The following is a 23,851-nucleotide window of genomic DNA, read 5'->3' as shown; positions in this document are numbered from 1 at the left end:
AGTCATATGCTCTTTTTCACTTTATAAGGAAACTGTCCTGGTGTCTGAGAGCTTAGAGTTTATAAAAGATCTATATGAAAGGGTTAATCAGGTGAGGTCTTTTGGAAGAGCTAACTTTTATACTAGATTGTAAATAATTAATAAAATAGACTATTCTATAAGGACAAAGAATATAGGAAAATGGAGATAGCAATTTAAAACACCAGGATGCTAAGGAGAAGGAACACTGGGTACATGATATACAGGAAATTAAGAAAGATGGAAGATGGCTGAACAGGAACAGCTCCAGTCTACAGCTCCCAGTGTGAGTGACGCAGAAGACGGGTGATTTCTGCGTTTCCAACTGAGCTTTGAAGAGAGTAGTGGTTCTCCCAGCATGCAGCTTGAGATCTGAGAACGGGCAGACTGCCGCCTCAAGTGGGTCCCTGACCTCCAAGTAGCCTAACTGGGAGGCACCCCCCAGTAGGGGCGGACTGACACCTCACACAGCCGGGTACTCCTCTGAGAAAAAACTTCCAGAGGAATGATCAGGCAGCAGCATTTGCGGTTCACCAATATCCGCTTTTCTGCAGCCACCACTGCTGATACCCAGGCAAACAGGGTCTGGAGTGGACCTCCAGCAAACTCCAACAGACCTGCAGCTGAGGGTCCTGACGGTTAGAAGGAAAACTAACAAACAGAAAGGACATCCACACCAAAAACCCATCTGTACATCACCATCATCAAAGACCAAAGGTAGATAAAACCACAAAGATGGGGAAAAAACAGAGCAGAAAAACTGGAAACTCTAAAAATCAGAGTGCCTCTCCTCCTCCAAAGGAACACAGCTCCTCACCAGCAATGGAACAAAGCTGGACAGAGAATGACTTTGATGAGTTGAGAAAAGAAGGCTTCAGAAGATCAAACTACTCCGAGCTAAAGGAGGAAGATCGAACCAATGGCAAAGAAGTTAAAAACCTTGAAAAAAAATTAGACGAATGGCTAACTAGAATAACCAATGCAGAGAAGTCCTTAAAGGACCTGATGGAGCTGAACACCACGGCACAAGAACTACGTGACAAATGCAGAAGCCTCAGGAGCCGATGCGATCAACTGGAAGAAGGGGTATCAGCGATGGAACACAAAATGAATGAAATGAAGCAAGAAGAGAAGTTTAGCGAAAAGAAACAAACAAAGCCTCCAAGAAATATGGGACTGTGTGAAAAGACCAAATCTATGTCTGATTGGTGTACCTGAAAGTGACGGGGAGAATGGAACCAAGTTGGAAAACACTCTGCAGGATATTATCCAGCAGAACTTCCCCAATCTAGCAAGGCAGGCCAACATTCAAATTCAGGAAATATAAAGAATGCCACAAAGATACTCCTCGAGAAGAGCAACTCCAAGACACATAATTGTCAGATTCACCAAAGTTGAAATGAAGGAAAAAATGTTAAGGGCAGCCAGAGAGAAAGGTCGGCTTACCCACAAAGGGAAGCCCATCAGACTAACAGCTGATCTCTCGGCAGCAACTCTACAAGCCAGAAGCGAGTGGGGGCCAATATTCAACATTCTTAAAGAAAAGAATTTTCAACCCAGAATTTCATATCCAGCCAAACTAAGCTTCATAAGTGAAGGAGAAATAAAATACTTTACAGACAAGCAAATGCTGGGAGATTTTGTCACCACCGGGCCTGCCCTAAAAGAGCTCCTGAAGGAAGCACTAAACATGGAAAGGAACAACCGGTACCAGCCACTGCAAAAACATTCCAAATTGTAAAGACCATGGAGGCTAGGAAGAAACTGCATCAACTAATGAGCAAAATAACCAGCTAACTTCATAATGACAGGATCAAATTCACACATAACAATATTAACCTTAAAGGTAAATGGGCTAAATGCTCCAATTAAAAGACACAGACTGGCAAATTGGATAAAGACTCAAGACCCATCAGTGTGCTGTATTCAGGAAACTCATCTCACGTGCAGAGACACACATAGGCTCAAAATAAAGGGATGGAGGAAGATCTACCAAGCAAATGGAAAACAAGAAAAGGCAGGGGTTGCAATCCTAGTCTCGGATAAAACAGACTTTAAACCAACAAAGATCAAAAGAGACAAAGAAGGCCATTATATAATGGTAAAGTGATCAATTCAACAAGAAAAACGAACTATCCTAAATATATATGCACCCAATACAGGAGTACCCAGATTCATAAAGCAAGTCCTTAGTGACCTACAAAGAGACTTAGACTCCCACACAATAATAATGGGAGACTTAAACACCCCTGTATCAATATGAGATCAATGAGACAGAAGATTAACAAGGATATCCAGGACTTGAACTCAACTCTGCACCAAGCAGACCTAATAGACACCTAGAGAACTCTCCACCCCAAATCAACAGAATATATATTCTTCTCAGCACCACGTTGCACTTATTCCAAAATTGACCACATAGTTGAAAGTAAAGCACTCCTCAGCAAATGTAAAAGAACAGAAATTATAAGAAACTGTCTCTCAGACCACAGTGCAATCAAACTAGAACTCAGCATTACGAAACTCACTCAAAACCACTCAACTGCATGGAAACTGAACAACTGGCTCCTGAATGACTACCGGGTACATAACGAAATGAAGACAGAAATAAAGATGTTCTTTGAAACCAACGAGAACAAAGACACAACATACCAGAATCTCTGGGACACATTCAAAGCAGTTTATAGAGGGAAATTTATAGCACTGAATGCCACAGAGAAAGCAGGAAAGATCTAAAATGGACACCCTAACATCACAATTAAAATAACTGGAGAAGCAAGAGTAAACAAATTCAAAAGCTAGCAGAAGGCGAGAAATAATGAAGATCAGAGCAGAACTGAAGGAAATAGAGACACAAAAAACCCTTTTAAAAAATCAATGAATCCAGGAGCTGGTTTTTTGAAAAGATCAACAAAATTGATAGACCGCTAGCAAGACTAATAAAGAAGAAAAGAGAGAAGAATCAAATAGATGCAATAAAAGATTATGAAGGGGTTATCACCACTGATCCCACAGAAATACAAACTACCATCAGAGAATACTATAAACACCTCTATGCAAATAAACTAGAAAATCTAGAAGAAATGGATAAATTCCTGGACACATACACCCTCCCAAGACTGAATCAGGAAGAAGCTGAATCTCTGAGTAGACCAATAACAGGCTCTGAAATTGAGGCAATAATTAATAGCTTACCAACCAAAAAAAAGTCCAGGACCAGATGGATTCACAGCCAAATTCCACCAGAGGTACAAGGAGGAGCTGGTATCATTCCTTCTGAAACTATTCCAATCAATAGAAAAAGAGGGAATCCTCCCTAACTCATTTTATGAGGCCAGCATCATGCTGATACCAAAGCCTGGCAGAGACACAACAAAAAAAAGAGAATTTTAGACCAATATCCTGGATGAACATGGATGCAAAAATCCTCAATAAAATACTGGCAAACTGAATCCAGCAACACATCAAAAAGCTTATCCACCATGATCAAGTGGGCTTCATCTCTGGGATGCAAGGCTGGTTCAACATACACAAATTAATAAATGTAATCCAGCATATGCACAGAACCAAAGACAAAAACCACATGATTATCTCAATAGATGCAGAAAAGGCCTTTGACAAAATTCAACAACCCTTCATGCTAAAAACTCTCAATCAATTAGGTATTGATGGGACGTATCTCAAAATAATAAGAGCTATCTATGACACACCCACAGCCAATATCATACTGGAAGCATTCCCTTTGAAAACTGGCACAAGACGGGGATGCCCTCTCTCACTACTCCTATTCAACATAGTGTTGGAAGCTCTGGCCAGGGCAATCAGGCAGGAGAAGGAAATAAAGTGTATTCAATAAGTAAAAGAGGAAGTCAAATTGTCCCTGTTTGCAGATGACATGATTGTATATCTAGAAAACCCCATCGTCTCAGCCCAAAATCTCCTTAAGCTGATAAGCAACTTCAGCAAAGTCTCAGGATACAAAATCAATGTGCAAAAATCACAAGCATTCTTATACACCAATAACAGCCAAACAGAGAGCCAAATCATGAGTGAACTCCCATTCACAATTGCTTCAAAGAGAATAAAATACCTAGGAATCCAACTTACAAGGTATGTGAAGGACCTTTTCAAGGAGAACTACAAACCACTGCTCAATGAAATAAAAGAGGATACAAACAAATGGAAGAACATTCCATGCTCATGGGTAGGAAGAATCAATATCGTGAAAATGGCCATACTGCCCAAGGTAATTTATAGATTCAATGCCATCTCCATCAAGCTACCAATGACTTTCTTCACAGAATTGGAAAAAACTACTTTAAAGTTCATATGGAACCAAAAAAGAGCCCACATTGCCAAGTCAATCCTAAGCCAAAAGAACAAAGCCGGAGGCATCATGCTACCTCACTTCAAACTACACTATAAGGCTACAGTAACCAAAACAGCATGGTACTGGTACCAAAACAGAGATATAGACCAATGGAACAGAACAGAGCCCTCAGAAATAATGCCGCATATCTACAACCATCTGATCTTTGACAAACCTGACAAAAATAAGCAATGGGGAAAGGATTCCCTATTTAATAAATGGTGCTGGGAAAACTGGCTAGCCATATGTAGAAAGCTGAAACTGGATCCCTTCCTTACACCTTATACAAAAATCAATTCATGATGGATTAAAGTCTTACATGTTAGACTAAAACCATAAAAACCCAAGAAGAAAAGCTAGACAATACCATTCAGGACACAGGCATGGGCAAGGACTTCATGTCTAAAACACCAAAAGCAATGGCAACAAAACCCAAAATTGACAAATGGGATCCAATTAAATTAAAGAGCTTCTGCACAGCAAAAGAAACTACCATCAGAGTGAACAGGCAACCTAGAGAATGGGCGAAAAGTTTTGCAACCTACTCATCTGACAAAGGGCTAATATCCAGAATCTACAGTGAACTCAAAAAAATTTACAAGAAAAAAACAACCCCATCAAAAAGTGGGTGAAGGATATGAACAGACACTTCTCAAAAGAAGACATTTATGCAGCCAGAAAACACAGGAAAAAATGCTCATCATCACTGGCCATCAGAGAAATGCAAATCAAAACCACAGTGAGATACCATCTCACACCAGTTAGAATGGCGATCATTAAAAAGTCAGGAAACAACAGGTGCTGGAGAGGATGTGGAGAAATAGGAACACTTTTACATTGTTGTTGGGACTGTAAACTAGTTCAACCATTGTGGAAGTCAGTGTGGCGATTCCTCAGGGATGTAGAACTAGAAATACCATTTGACCCAGCCATCCCATTACTGGGTATATACCCAAAGGATTATAATTCATGCTGCTAAAAAGACACATGCACACGTATGTTTATTGCAGCATTATTCACAATAGCAAAGACTTGGAACCAACCCAAATGTCCAACAGTGATAGACTGGATTAAGAGAATGTGGCACATATACACCATGGAATACTATGCAGCCATAAAAAATGATGAGTTCATGTCCTTTGTAGGGACATGGATGAAGCTGGAAACCATTATTCTCAGCAAACTATCGCAAGGACAAAAAACCAAACACTGCATGTTCTCCCTCATAGGTGGGAACTGAACAATGAGAACACATGGACACAGGAAGGGGATCATCACACACCAGGGACTGTTGTGGGGTGGGGGTAGGGTGGAGGGATAGCATTAGGAGATATACCTAATGCTAAATGACGAGTTAATGGGTGCAGCACACCAACATGGCACATGTATACATATGTAACAAACCTGCACATTGTGCACATGTACCCTAAAACTTTAAGTATAATAATAAAATTTTTAAAAAAAGGAAAGATGGAGGGGGAAGTGAATAGAAATGTAAGGCTTTGAGTTTAGGACTGAGACATTTAAATTAGAGTCATAGGTGATGTAAAATTGTATATTTACAGATATTTTTGTGCATCATATGTGGGAAAAACAAATGAAAGACTAATTTCGTAATTTTGTGTGAGACATGAGTAAAAGTAACAGATATTTGTTTAGTAAATTTCATGTTAAACTTCCTCTATTTGGTACTAATATTTAGTGATAAATAAATATTACTAAATATGATAAATATTATGACTCACTTTGGTCATAGTCTTAGAGAGGAGTCTGAAGTACATGGACTATAAAAGTAGGTGCTAGAATAACAAAAATAGATTAAAAATACTTCTGATTGAGAGAGTGAAGGCTATTTAATGGAGGTGACTTTTAAGCTGGACTTTCAAAGGTTAGTATCATTCCAATAAGCACAAGAGGAAAGCTATTCCAGGTGGAAAGGCCAGGGCTGGGTAAGGGTACAGACAGGACTGTTGGTCAGGAAGTTGGAAGGAGCACGCAAAATACTGAGAGATGTTTTAAGCCCCTTGTAAAATCACAGTCTCTTTACATTGACATGTAGATCAGCTCTGAGTAAATAAGAAGACATGATTAAATGTGCCAATGATTTATTCCTACTTGTTTCTTATGTGAGAATTATGATGTGATTGAATAGAATCACAATTCTGTTCACAACTGATAGAACTGAGGGGTAGAGTGCCAAAAAGCTAGGTAGGCTGGCATCGTAATGTCTTATACAAAACAGCAATCAAAAATTTATTCCGTGCCTTCACAGACATCTTCTAATTCCATTCTCTCAAAAACTTTATAAATTGGTGAGAGAAAATATTCTATCCCTTCGTGGCAATTTAGATTTACAAACACTTGCCAAGGTTACTTAACTGGTAAGTGGTGGAAAGGGATTTGTACCCAGGTTTTCTGGTGTCAGGTTTAGTCTATGCCACTCATGCAAAATGACAGAGATGTACCCGTTGTAACAGATTAATACTATGAGAGGAGAATTAACAAAGAGAGCAGTAAAGAATTTACCTGAAAATCTTTAATTTCCTGACAGTGGAACCTTATAGTTCTTGATTTTTAAGAGAGAGCATTCTTCTGTTAGTTGATAGGCTATAAAGAAGCCAACTGCTGCGATATACTATTAAACTGCTATATCTTAATTTGAAATCTGTTGGTCTGGTCATGCCCCATTTAGTTGTTATTTGAATGGACAATGGTGAACCTATCTTCTGTAACAAATAGAAATGAATGAGCTCTTATTAAGGGGATCCATATTCTATCAAGTTCATGTTTACTCATAATTTTATTACAAGGACAAAGGGGAGAGAAGGATCCTCTAAGGAATTACTGTAGGATGTTTAGAAAAACAAACACTCCCCCAAATACAGCATTACTGTCTTCCCTTATACACTCCTGTTTTTTTTTTTAAACAACATCAAGGAATTTCAGGTGTTTTATTGATAGCCCCATCAATCTTCAAAATATTCCTGTAAGTCAGGTAGGTGGCAAGAATTACTAGTAAGAAGAGAAGAAATTTAATATGTTTATTTGTTGCAAGAAAAAGACACATGAAGACAGGAGACTTGTAGTAAGAATACTTTACTTTGAAATATTACACATAATAGCAGGGGAATAAAGAATTATTCAAGGGAGAAGAAATTAAATATAATTAATCTTTTGGAATATGGAAAGTTTTCTCATAATAAATGAAAATAGAAAATAAATCATAATGAATATTAAAAATAGAAAAATATGACATTTCAGCTAAATTCAATAAACATTTATTGAGTGCCTAGTGAATTTAAGCTTTAATCATTTTCTCTTTTCATTTATATTGAAGAATGCTATTTCTTAAGTGCTGAGTGTTAAAAATATTTTTAAAATGCTGAAGGCATCTCTTGATAATATAAGCAGTATATGAAAATGAGCTTTAATAATGATTCTAGTTGTGGGTGGTTGTGAGGAAGGAGAGACAATAAAAATCCTTAGCAGGACCTCTGCTGAAGTGTTTAATACATTATAAAAGGGCAAATAAAGATAGGTATAACCTTTGTCTTTAAGCACAGAGTATGGAAAAATGTTAAAGGATAATGATTAGCTATTCACCCTCACCATGGGCATAATAAAAGGAAAAAAACTATAAGAAATTTTTAGTTGATAATGGGAAAGATTTCTCAACAATGATCATTGCCTAATGCAGTGCTAGATTGGGCAATTAATGCAGGTTGTGGAACATTTTTAGACAAGAAAAGAGGTGAAGATATAGGCATATGTGACTATTAATGACCCTAGCCTGAGTGTGTGAGTGTATGTATGTGTACATGTATTTTAAGACTGTATTTTTGAGAGATTGCTTAATTCTTTTTATGAAATATGGGGGTGGGGAGGAAGTTCAAGGATGGATTGTTGATCTTTTTAGTTTATTTCTTTAATTTTTCTGACTCTGTAAGTCTAGTAAAATGTTTTAATGTTAAAATTTGCTATTCCTAGTGATCAAAATTGTGTCCAAAGCAATTAAGTGAAGATGGAAAAATAAGTTGCAATGTGTGTATGTACATATTGTGAGATGTCTGCAGATTTTAAGGAAGGCTGAGACATCTTTTGTCCATGTCAGTTAGAAGTCCAAAGCCATTTAAGCCTAGTGGTTCATGACTGACAGAAATAAAGGGTCTCCAGCTGATAGTGACTTGATCTTTCAGAAGTATATATCTCTTCCAGAAGCACATAGATTTTAAAAGAGAAGTTGGTGAATAAGGCAATTCTTAACCTAAAAGATAGGAGTTCTAAGATTTCAAGAGTGGGGCCAGAAGGCATGGGGAAGACATAATAATAGCAGAAGTACTTTCAACCATATATAGGAGACCACCCATAATAAAGGTGAACATAGGAACAAGAGACAGTAAAATAGTAAATTGATAAAGTGACTAAGAAAATGGGAAGAGTGAAAGAAATCACAAAAGGATAAGAAAGCTGAGCAGAGAGAGAGAGAATCTGGTTATGAGTGAGACATGAAGATGCAGAAGGACTAAAAAAGAGACAGAGGGTTGGGCACGGTGGTTCACGCCTGTAATCCCAGCACTTTGGGAGGCCAAGGTGGGCGGACCACCTGAGGTCAGGAGTTCAATAGCAGCCTAGCCAACATGGCAAAACCCCATCTCCATTAAAAATACAAAAATTAGCCGGGTGTGGTGGCGGGTGCCTGTAATCCCAACTGCTCGGGAGGCTGAGGCGGAGAATTGCTTGAACCTGGGAAGGGGAGGTTGCAGTGAGCCAAGATCGTGCCATTGTATTCCAGCCTGGGCAGCAAGAGCGAAACTCCGTCTCAAAAAAAAAAAAGAGAGAGAGAGAGAGAGAGAGAGAGAGAGACAGAACCCTCAAAACTATGTTCTGGTTCTAAAGTAGCTAAAGGAAGTGTCTACACATTGCTAAACAACCAATGAATTAAGTGTAAAACTTAATTAAAATTGTTGTTTTGCATTTTGCAGACTTAGTCTTAGCTACCTTTTTTTTAAAAAAAACTTATTTTCATCTCCCCTTATTCTCTCCTCATCTCTTGTTCCCACTTCTCATTGTATGTATGTATGTATGTATGTATGTATGTATGTATGTATCCATCCATCCACCTATCATCTAGCTATTTCTGTGTATTTAATTTGATTCTTATATCAAATCCTCCAAGATGTAACAGGTTAAAGTTGATTGTAGTTGTCATAATATTAAAAGCTCTTAAATAATTTGAATGTGAACCCAAAATTAGATCAGTGTTTCTCTAGTGTGGTTCAAACCTTGAACAAGTTATACTTCTATTAAAATTTAGATTAATTGATTTAGAATCTTTAGAGATGGTTATGGTGATAATCTATATGCTAGACTGTATTTTAAACACATTTACACGATGAGATTTATGCACTTTAACGTTTGATAAGTATTACTATAGAGTAAATATATAGACACCTAGAAATGATAAACTTTTCTGATTTTAGATATACAGGCTTTTTGGAATACTGATGTGAGTGTAGAGGCCAGAAAAATGAAGCTAGGTGGTATTGGAGGAGAATCTCTGAAGACTGCTCTCAGTAGGCTGACAACAAGTTAAGATGAATGTGTAACTGTTTTCTACATTCTTCTTACTGCTATAAAAATAATTGAAATGCAGAATGCTTAACTTCATTCAGCTGTAAGCCTTGTAAGAACATCAATAAAAATTTAAAAATTCTATTCCTGTTCTTTCATTTTTCTAGTTTCCCTGGGTGTCTCTCATCACCCTGCCTAATCCTTTCCTACAAAACTTTTCTTCTTGAAACTTGAGCTCTACTTTTATTACTTTTTCCATTATGTAAAAGGTAACTTAAAAAAATGTATAAAACGTTTATGTGTTTATGTTACAGTTTTGACAGTTGTGGAAAAAAGTGAAATTGGTTATTGCTACCTCAATGAAATTATTTTGTTAATACTTCAAAGATAATTTTTATGTAATTCACACTGGAGACAAGTTTGATTATTGATTTCTATAATAGAACATAATTATTTTGGGTGGGAACATTTAAATTTGCCTGAAAAAAGGCTGTTTTTCATCTAAGCCTTTAAAACGGCTGGAATTTATCACATGTTAAAAGTTTAGGGTCTGACCAGGTGATACAGAAATGACCAACCATTTCTTCCATAAGCTTACTAGTAAATGGAGAAGGCATTTTTGGTAAATACTATAATCTTCTCTTGCATTAGATTGATTAGATTTTTCCTTTTTAAAATTTCTTTAAAGTGACAAGTGTAAAAATAGACTAGTGAGGACTAAATTATTTCTACTCAGAATGATTTTATTTGTTCATAACTATTCTAGAAGAAAGTGAAAAACTTTAAGTATATATGGAGTTTGATGCAATATGAAATGTATGAGTGTGGTATTTTAGCTATCTGGTGCAATATAAGGTCATTACTTTGGAAGAAAAATTTCATATCCTTATAGGTCCCCATGATAGTCTTTTGCACCAATGAAAGAATATAAAACATTAGCTCAGCCTCTTGGTTTATAATCTGTGAAGTTTTGAGTATATTGTTGAGTTTTAAAAACAAGGAAACGTGAATTATAAAGAAATCTTAAGTGTTGCGGTTGAATGCAAAAGTTAGTTCATTTGGGGGAAGTATATTGGCTCAATCCTATAGGCTAATTATCCAAATTTTATTAAGATTGGATATATTTCCATCACAGATTTCTTTATTTCTAGTTGACTTAGGATAGTTTCATACTGGTAACAATAAAAAAAAGAGAGTTAAAATAATTACCAGAATACTTCAAGTGAGAAAGTGATTCTCCTTAAATATTAAGTTTAATGAGGCTAAAAATGTTCTTTTGGGTAACCTCTGAGCCAGTCTTCCCTAACCCACCTACAGTAGTGAACCAAATTTAGTACCTAATGCAAATATATTTTTGAAAAAAAAAAAAAAAAGAAAGGGGGCCTCTATAAGAGATAGTGGACAGAGAAGTAGAAGAAAGCTGACTTTCTAGTTAGTGGACAGCTCCCTATGCCCGCTAGCTCCCCTGTCTCCAGGCTGTGAGACAGGTTACTCACACATTCTAAGAGTTCTCCTGCACAGATGGAATGGAGCTAAAAGGATTTCATGGTTCTCCTGCGAACCATTACATGGTTGTTTCTTGTCACCAAGGTTCATCCCTGTGCTTCTATCATCCTCTCCTCTACTTTAGTTTATTAATATTGGGGTGTTCTCACTGTTGCAACTTCCAAAGCATTTATATAAGATACAGGGCTTAATTCTCATTTTTTTAAAATATAAAAGGATGCTAAATTGGAGGTTTTAAAAGAGACACCCATATATCAAACACCAATGTCGGTCATGAAACAGATGATGCTGTAGGAAGTTTAAGCAAGACCAGCCTGGGCAACAGCGTGAGACTCCCATCTCTACAAAAAAATTAAAATAGAGTGGATTTTTAAAAATTGCACAGTAACTCTCTTCCCATGGGTCATGTCTTCCTTCATTTTTAAGCAAGAGAGGGGGGATTCAGGAAGCTTAATTTGGATATCTGCTGACAAATGGGCTGAAGGGGACATTGGGCTCAGACTACACACCTACAGGTTGTGAAGGCCACATCCAAGGAAAGGTTATCCTAGACTGGAGTGGGTCAGGATCAAGGGAGCTTAAGTAGGGCTAGGGTGATCTATGGGACATTCAAGAGAAGACAGAAGTGACTGCAAAATTTATAGAGACTTAGGAAGTAGTAAAAAACCACTGGGAAGGAGTGAATTTGTTTGGGTCAAGGAGCTGCATGTGAGAGTCAACACTATTGCTGGACATCTCTGAGGAACTCCAAAATTCACCGCATCAGATAAAACCAGCTGTAAATATCTGCTGGATCAAGAGTGTGGGAAATCAGTTTAGGGCTGTGTAATCAACAAGCACTGAGGAAACTGTGGGACCTGACTGAGTTTTTGCCAAAGGGAGAGGAAAACTACCCCCAGATAATACATTTAGAGGGCATTCGAGGCAAAAGCATAATGTGTTCTGATTATATTCCATGAATTCTACTTGGTAAGATACTATGTGCGTAAGTCCCAAGACCTCCTTAAATAACTAAAGGTTAATAATTATTATTGGCTCAATGGCTGTAATCTTAATAAGGAAACAACATTTAGTAAAACTGGAAATTGAAAGCCTTAATTTTCAATCAGTACCTTTCTTTATCTAGTTCATGTAATAAAGTATTACATTCTAAACACAAATACTTATGACTTATTTCAAGGTTAGATAATCACAAATCACTGGGATGTTGTCACATAGTACGTTCTTGTTTAATTATGCATAATCAAGTTTTCCTTTATTTTATTATAGTGTAGTTTAATATCTCATTTATAGATACTTATAAGAAGAAATTTTTTTCTAATCTCCCCAAAGCCTTGCAGAGATAGCACTGAGGGAAGCCGGTAGACCTAGAGGCCACTACCAAGTTCCCCTCCATGTGATTTGTTGAATTCCAGGTAGGTGCTCTAATTTTTGGACCATACTCTGAGATTGGCATCTTACAAGGCCAAGATGGTAGTGCCTGTCTTTGTGCCTGATATAGACTTTGGTTTTGCTATTTTATATCAATTATTTTAGACAATTAAATATTGCAAGATATGTAATCTTAAAAAAGGAAAGTAGTCTCTCCTTATCCATGATTTTGCTTTTCCTGGTTATGGTTACCCATGGTCAACCATGATCTGAAAATGTTAAGTGGAAAATTCCAGAAATAAATAATAAATTTTAAGTCGTATGCCATTCTGAGTAGTATGTTGAAATTTCACGTCTCATTCTGTCTGCCTGAGACATGAATCATCTTTTTGTCCAGCATATCCATGCTGTGTATGCTAAACATCCATTAGTCTCTTAGTAGCCTTCTCAGTTATCAAATTGACTGCTGTGATATTACAGTGCTTGTGTTCGACAGACCAGGAGCACCATCACCTTGGACAAACACTGCCTATTTAAGTTCCAGCTCCCTTTCTAGCGTCATGCATTTCAAGGAAATCACTTCTCTTATTACAAACAGCCAGAAAGAGCAGACAGTAAAACACAGATGAGACAGCTGGGGCACAGAGGGAGGTTGGGGGAAAGTCTCTTGGGTAACTGCCAAACTTCACCCTCATACAATGGGCCCAAGTAAAACAGTGGGCCTTAATAAGCACATTCCTTTCCCTTCAGGTGCACTAAGATGGGGAGGCCAAAAGCAGACTGAGGGATATGCCTGCAGCTGCAGAAAGATGTGTGGGAACAGACACACAACTCTCCCTCCCAGATAAGCACAACAAAGAGACACAGAAGCAGTCCAAGCCTCTGCTAAACTCTCCCACCCTGAATCCTTAAAAACTCTTAATCTGTAAGAGTGTGGCTCTGATCTAACTCGGCTAGCCGCCCCTCTCAGGTTGATTTAAAATAATCCTGTCCCTGTTGACTAAAAAGCCACCCTTCGTGTTTCTCTCCTCTTTCTTTAATTCTTACAGTGTTTATTTTACTAAACCATTCTATTTTATTATTAGTTATTGTTGTTAATGTCTTAGTTTACCTAATTTACTAACTAAACTCTATCATAGATAGGTATGTTTAAGAAAAAACACAGCATATAGAGGGTTTGGTACTGAGTTTTCAGGCATCCACTGGTGGTCTTGGAATGTATCCCCTGTGGATAAATGGAGACTTCTGTATTCTATTTATATATCTGACAATAAATTGACCACACTGTTTGTAACTACTCCACCTTGCTCTATTTTCAGTTTTGTCGTTTCTGTTGCAATGGTCAGAAACACCTATTATGGATGGCTACTAATACCATTCTCTTTCATTATTGTCATCTTTCTTAGACTTCTTGGCATCCCTCATTCATATGGTGGACATTGGTGTCCCTCATTCATATGATGTTTTTCCATTTGAATTCTCCAAAGTTTATTTTAAAATTTTTGTTGTGGATACAGTTCATGCTCTATCCAGGTCCTCTTTAACTGCCAGTGCACTCAATTCAACAGCTGCTGTTGATGTTTGCTGCCAATGCCTCACAACTGAGCAAATATTCTCTAAATATTTGTCTGAATAAGGAGCCACCTCCCCTGGGAGCCATGACCTGCTTCCTTCCCAGTGCAGCCTGCAGCTAACACTTCTCTGATGGGAGAGGGGCTCTAAAAGGTTGGCCTCCTTGCTTAAGGTGGGGCCGACTCTGTAATATCTTGCAGATTCAGAGATCCTCATGGAGCTAGGCTTTGTCTAAGACCACATACTTGCATAGCTTTTTTTCCTGCATTACTTTTCCTCACTCCCCATCTCCTGACAGCACTCCTTCAATAAATAACTTGAACAAAAATTTACATCTCGGACACTGTTTCTAGGGAACCCAACATAAGGTGATCATTTTGATCTCTCCTTAAAGCTTTCTCTAGGCGATCCCATGCTTCAATAAAAGCTAATATGCTGACTTTCAAACTCTGCACATCATATTGTCTCCAGTGAAGGGTGTCCAGGTTCTTGGCATCTTAAACAAAGAATTGGACAAAACACACAAACAAAGCAAGGAAGGAACGAAGAGATTTATTGAAAATGAAAGTACACTCCACAATGTGGGAGCGGGCTCAAGCATAGGGGCTCAAGGGCCCTGTTACAGAATTTTGGGGAGATTAAGTACCCTCCAGAGGATTCCATTGGTTACTTGGGATATGCAGTAAATGTAAATGAGGATGAACTAAAGTTACAAAGTTAGTTACTTGGCCTACACCCTATGGAGAAGATATTTTCCTGTCATATCTGAAGTGTGAATTGGCCTTATGTTCCCTGCCTGAAGACCCTATTTGCCTGCCTCAATATGTCTTATCTAAATTTCAGACTGAGAAGCACATTTGTCTACTTTTTGAGGATTTTTCAAATTTGGAACTGCCTCCTATCTCTGGACAAGGTTGCATTTTGATTCTTTTAGCTGTGTTGATTTAGAAATTTCAGAATCATAAATTATTATCAAATACAATAGTCTTGTGAATATAACATCCTATGGCATATAAAGATTGCAGGCTGGGCGTGGTGGCTCACGCCTGTAATCCCAGCACTTTGGGAGGCAAGGCAGGCAGATCACCTGAGGTCAGGAGTTTGAGACAAGCCTGGCCAACACAGTGAAACCCCGTCTCTACTAAAAATACAAAAATTAGCTGGGCATGGTGGCGCATGCCTGTAATCCCAGCTACTTGGGAGGCTGAGGCAGGAGAATCGCTTGAACCCGGGAGGCGGAGGTTGCTGTGAGTAGAGATCACGCCACTGCACTCCAGCCTGGGCAACAGAGCAAGACTCCATCTCAAAAAAAAAAAAAAAGAAGAAAAAAAAAGAAAAGATTTCGGACAGATTACATATCTTGCAATATTTAATTGTCTAAAATAATTGATATAAAATAGCAAAACCAAAGTCTATATCAGGCACAAAGACAGGCACTACCATCTTGGCCTTGTAAGATGCCAATCTCAGAGTATGGTCCAAAAGTTAGAGCACCCACCTGGAATTCAACAAATCACATGGAGGGGAACTTGGTAGTGGCCTCTAGGTCTACCGGCTTCCCTCAGTGCTATCACTGCAAGGCTTTGGGGAGATTAGAAAAAAATTTCTTCTTATAAGTATCCATAAATGAGATATTAAACTACACTATAATAAAATAAAGGAAAACTTGATTATGCATAATTAAACAAGAATGTACTATGTGACAACATCCCAGTGATTCGTGATTATCTAATTGTAGTTTTGATTTGTGTTTTCCTAATGATTAGTGATATTGAGCATTTTTTTCATACAGCTGTTGGCCATTAGTATGTCTTCTTTGGAGAAATGTCTCATAAAGTATTTCAACCATTTTTTAATGAGTTTTCTTTTTGGCTGTTGAACTGTTTAAATTCTTTATATATTTTGGAAACTTACCCCTTTTCTGATGTACAGTTTGTTTCTTTTATTTCCTTCTTTTGCCCAATTGCTCTGTCTAGGACTTCCAGTACGATGTTGAATAGCAATGTGGGCATCCTTGTTTTGTTTCTAATCTTAAAGTTTTCAATTTTTCTACGTTCAGTATGGTATTGGCTGTGGGTTTGTCAAATATGGTCCTATTGTGTTGAGGTATATTTCTTCTATACCCAGTTTGTTGAGAGTTTTTATCATGAAGTGTTGTTGGGGTTGTTGAATTTTGTCACACACTTTTTCTGCATCTGTTGCAATGATCACATGGTTTTTGCCTTTCTTTCTGTTAAGGTAATATATAACACTTATTGATCTGTGTATGGTGAACCATCCTTGACTCCCTGGGATGAATCCCACTTTATCATATGAATGATCTTTTTAATGTGCTATTAAATATGGTTTGTTAATATCTTGCTGAGAATTTTTGCATTTATGTTTTATCAAGGATATTCACCTGTAGTTTTGTTTCTTTGTTATGTCTTTGTCTGGTTTTGGAATCAGGGTAATGCTATTCTTGTAAAGTGAGTTTGGAATAATTTCCTCCTCTTCAGTTTTCTGAAATAGTGTGAGGAGAATTGCTGGGTTCTTTACAGGTTCTGAAGAATTTAGCAGTAAAGACATCAGGTCCAGGGCTTTTGTCTGAAGGGTGACTTTTTATTACTGATTCAATCTCCTTACTTGTTATTAGTCTGTGCATATTTTCTATTTCTTCATAATTTAATTTTGGTAGGCTGTATGTGTCCAGGAATTAACTCATTTCTTCTACGTTATCAAATTTGTTTGTGTATAGTTTTTCATAACAGTATCTTATGATCCTTTGTATTTCTGTCATATCAGTTCTAATGTCTCCTTTTCATCTCTGATTTTATTTCTTTGCACCTTCTTTTTTTTCACCTAGATAAAAATTTATTCTTTTTATCTTTCCAAAAACCAACTCTTTATTTCATTGATCTTTTGAATTTTTAAGTCTCTATTTTGTTTTTGTCTTCTCTGAGCTTCATTATTTATTTCCTTTTACCATTTGGGCTTAGTTTGTTCTTGTTTTTCTAGTTCCTTGAAGTGCATCTTTAGGTTTTTTTACTATAATTTTTTTATATGTAGGCATTTATTGGTATAAACTTTCTTTTTACAACTGAATTTGCTGTGTCTTGTAAGTTTTGGTATGTTGTGTTTTCATTTCACTTCTCTAGGAAGTTTTAAATTTCTCTTATAATTCCTGTATTGACCCATTGCTTATTAAGGAGCATGCTGTTCAATTTTAATGTATTTGCAAAGTTTTTGAAATTTATCTTGTTGATTTCCAGATGTACGTGGTTTTACTCAGAAAAGAAGAAATTGTGTTAGTCCGTTTTCACACTGCTATAAAAGAACTACTACCTGAGACTGGGTAATTTATAAAGAAAAGAAGTTTAATTGACTCAGTTCCACAGGCTTAATGAGAAGCATGACTGAGAGGCCTCAGGAAACTTATAGTCATGGTGGAAGGTGGAGAGGAAGCAGGGAGCTTCTTCACGTGGTGGCAGCAGAGAATGAGAGAGTGTGAAGGGGGAAGTGCCACACACATTCAAACAACCAGATCTCATGAGAACTCACTGTCATGAGAACAGCAAGGGGGAAGTCCACTTCCATGAGTCGGTCACCTTCCACCAGCCCCCTACCCCGACACATGGGGATTACAATTTGAGATGAGATGTGGGTTGGGACACAGAGCCAAATCATATCAGAGATGATCTCTGTCTTCTTAATTTGTTAAGAGTGTTTCCTGACCTAACATATGATCTATATGGGAGGACATTACATGTGAAGTTGAGAAGAATGTGTATTCTGTAGCTGTTGGATGGAATGTTCTGTAAATGTCTGTTAGGTCCCTTTGATCTATGGTGCAGTGTAAGTCCAGTCTTTCTTTGTTGATTTTCTGTCTGGATGATCTGTCCATTATTTAAATGGACTGGCATATGCTTCAGCTAGGGAAAAAACAGTTCTGAGGCACTAAGCTGAACCTAATACCTTACATTTGCAGTACTAAGAATATTTGCTTTACATATTTGCATGCTCCAGTGTTGGGTGCATATATATTTGCATTTGTTATATCCTCTTATTAAATAAATCCTTATATAATTATGAAGTGACTTTGCCTCTTTTTACAGTATTTTAGTTAAAATTCATTTTATCTGTTATGGTCACTCCTGCTTAGTTTTGGTTTTCATGTATGACGAATGTCTTTTTTCCATCTCTTCACTTTCACTGTTTGTTTTTAAGAATGAGGTGAGTCTCTTGTAGGCAGCATGTAGTTGGGCATTTAAAAAATTTATTTAGCCACTGTTTTTTTTTTTTTTTTTTTTTGAGATGGATTCTAGCTCTGTTGCCCAGGCTGGAGTGCAGTGGTGCAATCTCAGCTCACTGCAACCTCCGCCTCCCGGGTTCAAGCGATTCTCTTGCCTCAGCCTCCCAAGTAGCTGGGATTATGGGTGCCTGCCACCACGCCCAGCTAATTTTTGTATTTTTAGTAGGGACAGGGTTTCGCAGTGTTGGCCAGGCTGGTCTCGACCTCCTGACCTCGTGATCCACCCCTCTCGGCCTCCCAAAGTGCTGGGATTACAAGCATGAGCCACCGTGCCTGGCTCCTCTAATTGGTGAATTTAATTCATTTTCATTTAGAAACATATTGGTAGGTAAAGACTTCTCCAACTTTATTGTTTTCTGGTTGTTTTAAAATCCTTTGTTCTTTTCTCTCTCTCATTGTTTACCTCTGGTTTATAGGTTTTCTGTGATGCTACACTTTGTTTTCTTTCTCTTTCTGATTTGTGCATCAGTTATAATTTTTTTTATTTGTAGTTACCATGGACTAACATAGTCTTGTAATTATAATAGGCTATTTTACACTGATAACAACTTGACTTTGGTTGCATGAAAATACTTTAGAATTTTTTCCTCTGCCCCACAGTTTATATTTTTGTTGCCCTAAAATTTTAAAATTTACATTTTTATCTGCTAGCTATTTTTTTAATATTGTGTCTTTAGCCTTTCATACTAGTAAATTGGAAGATTTATAAAGCATCATTACAGTACTGTAGTATTCTGAGTTTGAATATGAATTTTCCTCTACTGGTGAGTTTTATACCTTCACATGTTTTCATGATAGTAATTATTGTTGTTTTGCTTACAGTTGTAGAACTCCCTTAAGCATTTCATTCTTTCTTTTTTTCTGTCTCTCTTTTTGAGACAGGATCTCACTGTGCCACCCAGGAGTGTACAGTGGAGTGCAGTAGTGTGTGATCATGGCTTATTGTAGGCTCGACCTCCTGGACTCAGGCAATCCTTCCACCTCTGCCTAATGAGTAGCTGAAACTGCAGCCATATGCTACCATGCCCAGATTATTATTATTATTGTTTGTAGATACAGGGTCTCACTCTGTTTTCCACACTGGTCTTGAACTCCTGGTTTTCAGCAATCCTTCCACCTTGGCCTCCCGAAGTCCTGGAATTATAAGCATGAGCCACAATGCCTGGCCCCTTAAGCATTTCTTATAAGGCCAGTCTAGTGGTGATGAATTCCTTCAGCTTTTGCTTATCTGTGAAGGCCTTTATTTTCTTCTTATTTTGGAAAGATGGTTTTGCTGAATATGGTATTATTAGTTGACGATTATGTCTTTCAGCACTTTGAATATGTCATCCCATTCTCTCCTGGCTTGTAAGTCTTCTGCTGAGAAATGTTCTGATAGTCTAATGACAATTCCCTTATATGTAACTTAACACTTTTGTCTTGCAGCATTTGGAATTCTCTATTTTTGAAAGTTTAATTATTATGTGCCTTGGAAAGGGTTGAGTCTAACTGAGGACTTTTGGGTTTCTGAGATCTAGATATTCATATCTATTACAAGATTAGGAAGTTTTAAGCTATTATTTTATTAAATAAGTTTTCTGTGCCTTTTTTTCATCTCTCTTCCCCTGGAACTCCTATATTGTGAACATATGTTTGTAAATGGTGTTCCCAAAGTCCCATAAGCTTTCTTTATTCTTTTTTATTCTTATTTCTGTTTTCCCTCTGACTGGGTTATTTCAAAAGAGCTGTCTTCAAATTCAGAAATTCTTTTTTTCTGCTTGATCTAGTCTGTTGTTGAAGGTCTTAATTGTATTACTGTATTTTTAATTTACTTTTTGAATTCCTCAGCTCTAATATTTTTGTTTTCTTTTTTTCTTATTTCTTTCTATTGAATTTCTCATTCATATCATGAATTGCTTTTCTGATTTCATTGAATTGTTTGTCAGTATTCTCTTGTGTCTTGCTAAGTTTCATGAAGATAATTATTTTGAATTTCTTTTCAGGCATTTTGTAAATATCCTTTGTGGGGGTTTTACTACTCATGAATTATTGTGTTCTTTTGGGGGCGTCCTGTTTCCTGGAGTTTTTTGTTTGTTTGTTTCTCATATCTACTGATATCTACACATCTAGTGGAACAGGTTGCTTTTTCCAATTTTATGGAATGGTTTTGTAGGGGGAACATTTTTTTTTTTCCGTAGAAGATCCTGGGTGTCAGTTGGGTATGGTGCCTTGGCTTTGTGTCTGTGTGGACTCAGTAGTGTGGTCTCTGTGTAGTTTCTTCAACTATATTTCTCATCGGCCGATATTTGTGTTAGCCTTGGTGCCTTAGCTGTGGGAGTTTGTGACAGCCAGGGTGCATTTTTGCTGGGGGAAGGGCTGCCAAGCTGGTTGCAGGGCCAGACACATGCAGGCATGGTTGGTCGGCCAGCAGTGTGGCAGTCTCTCCCAGAGCTGGATTACCAACAGACTGGCTGTCAGTGTGGGCACAGATGTGTCAGGCCATTGTTAGTGATGGACCCTCTGGCAAAGCAGGGCTCTGCTGAAGTGGCTGTTAAGCTGTCCACAGGCTCTCACATGTACTGTAAACTGCCTGGCTGCCTGACGGGGGCACATGTGGGAGCAGTAACCTGGCTGGTAGTTTGGTGGTGTCCCTGTTGTTCAAGTCTGCTTATTTCCCAGAGGAGCTGGTTGCCATATGGTTTCAAACACTTGGGTTTTAATCATTTTGTCCAGCCTATACTGCTAGTACCCAGGGTCATAGTGTTTCAGGCATGCATGTGAACATGAAAGAATGATGTTGGGACCTAGGCAATGGATAAAGGCAGTGTGTTCTGGCCCCCAGGGCAGAACACATTCTAGCAGTTGGTCTGGTGTTAAGATGGTGCTATGTAGTACAGTTTACATCACAAGAGTGGGGGATTCACAATGTGGGTTCCTATTCCAGAGCAATGCAGCTGTGCCAACTTCTAGCAACTCTCCAAAGTGAGTTTGGGTCCTGTGAGGGCTAGGGGATTCTTCTATAGAAAGGACCACCAGCATCTGTGATGATAATGGGGCTCCTGGTTCAACTTTTCTTTTTCCTGTAAGAAGAAATCCCTCCATCTCCGAGCTTATCCTGGTGGGGGAGACATTGTAAAGTGGCAGGGTAGCTTGCACCCCTCTCTATGGTGGTATCCTAATTGTCTGTGGTCCACAGGGTTTTTACCACTCCTTGGTGTTCTCTAGGGTACTTGATTAGTCACTCCACTCAAAATATAGTTGTTGTTTTTTTTTTTTATTGTTTTGGTCCCTTTTTGTTGAGGTGGGGAGAGCCAGGTAACTCTAGTTGGCATTTCACTGATGTCACTCCATGACTTTTCTATTCCAGTTTTTGCCAGCTACAGAAATCAGTCTTCATCTAAGTCTTCCCTTTCAGTTCCTAAGTGTATCAGCTAAGATTCTTTCTGTTGCACAAGACAGAATACTAACTAACTGATTTTAAAAATATGGGGGATTTATTGTCTTATATAACTTGAAAATCCAGAGGATAGTTTCATTTTAAGTGTGGCCTGGTTATAGGCTCAAACAATGTGATCAAGATTTTATTCTCCTCTTTATTTCTTATCTTTTTCCCTGTTGGTTTCATTCTTAGTCTTCAGGGGTGGGAGAAGAAAGTTGTCACACAGAAGTTTTAAACCTACATTTTCCTGGGTTAGAATCCCATAGAAGTGAAAGTGTCTTTTTCTGAGTATTCTGATCAAATCCTGGCCTTCATTCTGATTGGAACAACCTGGGTACATGTCTAACCTTGAACTAAAGAACTAGTAGGGCATGGGTTTCTGCCCCTTTTTGAGGTTGGATCACCACTGGAACCAGATAGATTGAGAATCAGTTGGGTGTCGTTTTCTAAAGAAATTCAGGGTGTGGTACCCTAAATAACGCCAGTAAAAGCTTGGTGGGAAATATACCAAATGTGCATTGAACTAAGCATATCCTAAATGAGTCTGAGTGATTCTCAGTGGCCTCAATGCCATCAGTCTACACTGGATGAGTCTTGCTGCCTTGAATCCAAGTATTCAGCTTGCTCAGCATAAGTACCTGTGTGACCACTGAACCATTCTGACCCTAATCCGTTATGGAAATACATTCAGAATTTGCCTGTTTTTTTGTTTTTTTTTTTTTTAAAGTTAAGTAGATTACCTGTCAGGTTTTCCAGGCTTTGAGTAAAGATGTTGGTTGTGGGCATCTGCCTTTCCATACTTATCTTACCTGCTATATAGCATCTGTGCATTTTTAAAACCACTCCTTTTTGCTAACTACTTTATTGATTATTCAATGTACCCATTTACAGTGCCTCAAGCATGATAGTCTAAGATGGTAAAAGCAGAATAGAAAGTAGATGAATCTCTAGTTTCATTTTCCTCATTGATGATAAGAATAACTCACACTGAGGGCTCGCTAAATAGTAAGCAGGTTTATTAACAATTTAGATATATTAACTTATCCTCACACAAAGCTGTGAGGTAGATACTATTCTTCTTCTTATTTTACTTGTAAATAATTTGAAGCAGAGAGATATTAGATAATTTTCTCAGGGTCACAAGAATACAATGATGTGAAGAATGAATTCTTACCCAGGTAGTTTGATTTCAAGATCTGCTTTCCTAACAAGTACACAATGCTGCCTCTGACGGACACTCAATATATTTATTCTTGATCATTTCCTCACCTTGCCAGATGGCGCCCTGACTATACTGTTAATGGGCTTTCATTATTCAGATGAGTCATAGTGGCACAGCTTTCTCATGCCAGATATTTTTGCGGAGCTGCTGAAACTTTTCATGTACCTTCTAGGTACAGAAACAAACTTGGAGTCTTTAGCATATCCTGTGTTCCAAAGCTTGGAATTGAACAGCCAGCTCCCGTGTAGAAACGTATCCAGCCTATTGACTCTTTTGCACTTCTTTCTCACATTAAACTTCCCATTGCTTCAGCTGTTCTACCAGCCCTTGAGGGAGGCAGAGTCATATAATGGGACAGGGAATCACTTGGAACTCAGGTCTCGGTTGCAGTTCTAACCTGGTAGTTAACATATGTGTGAATTTTGGTATATTCACCTTCTCTGTGCTTCAATTTTTTCATATGTAATGTGCTGAGAAAATAGAATTTATGAAACAGAAAACTTGATTCAGTGT

General features: G+C 37.9%; 1 long non-coding RNA gene across 4 annotated transcripts in view; it reads left to right on the top strand.

Moving 5' to 3' along the window:
* LINC02277 (long intergenic non-protein coding RNA 2277) overlaps positions 1–23,851 on the top strand; it is an 89,356-nt gene that overhangs the window by 4,850 nt on the left and 60,655 nt on the right. Inside the window, exon 3 of one of the 4 annotated variants that reach the window (XR_001750745.1) lies at positions 9,868–10,159. The exons of the other annotated variants lie outside the window; for them this stretch is intronic. This is a non-coding gene — a long non-coding RNA (long intergenic non-protein coding RNA 2277). Of the gene's footprint in view, positions 1–9,867; positions 10,160–23,851 lie in introns of those variants that run through there. 4 annotated transcript variants of the gene reach the window in all.

The sequence above is a fragment of the Homo sapiens genome, chromosome 14 (genome assembly GCF_000001405.40).
Source record: "Homo sapiens chromosome 14, GRCh38.p14 Primary Assembly".
NCBI classification, from domain to species: domain Eukaryota; kingdom Metazoa; phylum Chordata; class Mammalia; order Primates; family Hominidae; genus Homo; species Homo sapiens.
This window is presented reverse-complemented; position numbering and strand designations above follow the sequence as displayed.